Consider the following 2,423-nt stretch of genomic DNA (forward strand, 5'->3'; position numbering starts at 1 on the left):
GGGGATGATATCCAAGATATACTGTAAAGTAAGAAACAAAGATGGAGAAAAGTGTGGACAGCACACTGCCATTTATCTAAGAGAAAGAAGCAGATATATAGAGACATAGATATATACATATTTATATGCACACATACACACATATATGCACATATTTTTTAATTGAGGGATATAGTATAAAAATATTTTAAGGAAAACAAAGAAGAAAAAGGAGAAGACAGGAAAAGAAGGTAAAAATACCTTATTTAATAAATTTGACTTTGAAACCAGACAAATGAATTACAAAAATATAAAACAGAAATAACTCAATACCTAAAAATCAAAAGTAAATTAAACAAGTAAACTTAATTTTGCATCAAAGTAGCAGCAAACAGGAAGAAATAATTTCAAGTAACTTTAAGACAAAGTAATTGGACTGCACATCCCTGTGAACTATACTCTAAGGACAAAGAGAACTAAAAACAATTATAAAGTATTAAGCTGTTTTCAGTAATAATAGTACAGCAATAACATTGGTGCTATACATTCTGGTGTGTGTGTGCATGTGTGTGTGGTTTGAATGAAGCAAACAGTTATATTGATGCTGTTGAGGGCCAGGATATTTGGCATCAGAGAGGAGACCTGCTGGTTTAGTATCAAATACTATATGATCTCATTTGTAGGTGGAATCTAAAAAAGTTAAACTCATAGAAATGGAGAGCAGAATAATAGTTGCCAGCGTCTGGTGGCGGTAGGGAAAATGAGGAGATGTTGTTCAAAGGGTGCAAATATTCAGTTATAAAATAAACAAGTTCTGGGGATCTAATGTACAGCATGGGTGGTGATGGGTGTGTTAATTAATTTTATTGTGATAATCATTACACAATATACACACAAATCATTACATGGTACACCTTGAATATATACAATCTTTGTCAATTAAATATTTTTAAATAAAAAAGAAATTGATTTTAAAAAGAAAAATAAAGCTAATATCATGTGGTTCTAAATCTGAGTTAGAAATGTTCATGAGAGGTGAGTTAATAAGGATTAATGCATCAGTCCATTTTTGCATCACTATAAAGAAATACCTGAGGTGACATCATTTATTTTTAAAAAGAGATTTAATTGGATCATGGTGCTGCAGACTATACAAGCAACTCTTCAGCATCTGCTTCTGGTGAGGGCCTAAGGAAGCTCCCAATCATGGCAGAAGGTGAAGGGAGAGCAGGCAATGTCACATGGCAAGAGAGGGAGTCGGGTGTGGGGGAGGTGCCACACTCTTTTAAACAACCAGGTCTCTTATGAACTGCCAGAGCAAGAACTCACTCATCACCAAGGGGATGATACTAAGCCATTCATGAGGGATCTGCCCCCATGATCCAAACACCTCTCATTAGGCCCCACCTCCAACATTGGGGATTACATTTCAACATGAGATTTGGAAAGGACAAACATCCAAACTGTATCATTGTAACCCTGAGCCCCCAAATGTCACGTCCTTCTCACACTGCAAAACATAATCATCCTTTCTCAATAGTTCCCCCAAAGTCTTAACTTATTCCAGCATCAACTCAATCAAAAATCCCAAGTCCAAATTCTCATCTAGAGATGAGTTCCTTCCACCTATGAGCCTGTGAAGTCAAATACAAGTTATTTACTTCCAAGATACAATGATGGTACAGGCATTGAGTAAATATTCCCATTTCAAAATGAAGAAATAGGCCAAAAGAAAAGGACAACAGGCCCCACACAAGTCCTAAACCCAGCAAGGTAGTCATTAAATCTTAAATCTCCAAAATAATCTCCTTTGACTTCATGTTACACAGCCAGGGCATATTTGGTGCAAGGGGTAAACTCCCAAGGTCTTGGACAGCTCCAACCCTGTGGTTTTGTAGGGTCCAGCACCCATGGCTACTCTCATGGGTTGGAGCTGAGTGCCTGCAGCTTTTTCAGGCTCAAGATACAAGCTGCTGGTGGCTCTACCAATCTCAGGTCTGGAGGGTTGCAGCCCTGTTCCCACAGATCCACCAGGCAGTGCCCCAATGGGGACTCCATGTGCAGGCTCCAATCTCACATTTCCTTTGGCACTGACCTAGTAGAGGTTCCCTGTGGGGGCTTCACCCCTGTAGCAGGCTTCTGCCTGGGCACCTAGCCTTTCCCATACATCCTCTGAAATCTAGGTGAAAGTTGCCAAGCCTCCTTCACTCTTGCATTCTGTGAACCTGTATATTTAACACCACATTGAAGCCATCAAGGCTTATGGCCTGCACTCTCCAAAGCAGCATTCTGAGCTGTACCTGTGGCCCTTTGAGCTGAGCCTGGAGCCAGAGTTGCCTGAAGGCAGAGAGTAGCATCCTGAGGCTGAGCAGGGCACCTATACCTTGGGCCTGGCCCCTGAAACCATTCTTTCCTCCTAAAACTCTGGGTCTGCGATGGGAGGA

This window comes from Homo sapiens, chromosome 21 (assembly GCF_000001405.40).
Source record: "Homo sapiens chromosome 21, GRCh38.p14 Primary Assembly".
In the NCBI taxonomy this organism is placed as follows: domain Eukaryota; kingdom Metazoa; phylum Chordata; class Mammalia; order Primates; family Hominidae; genus Homo; species Homo sapiens.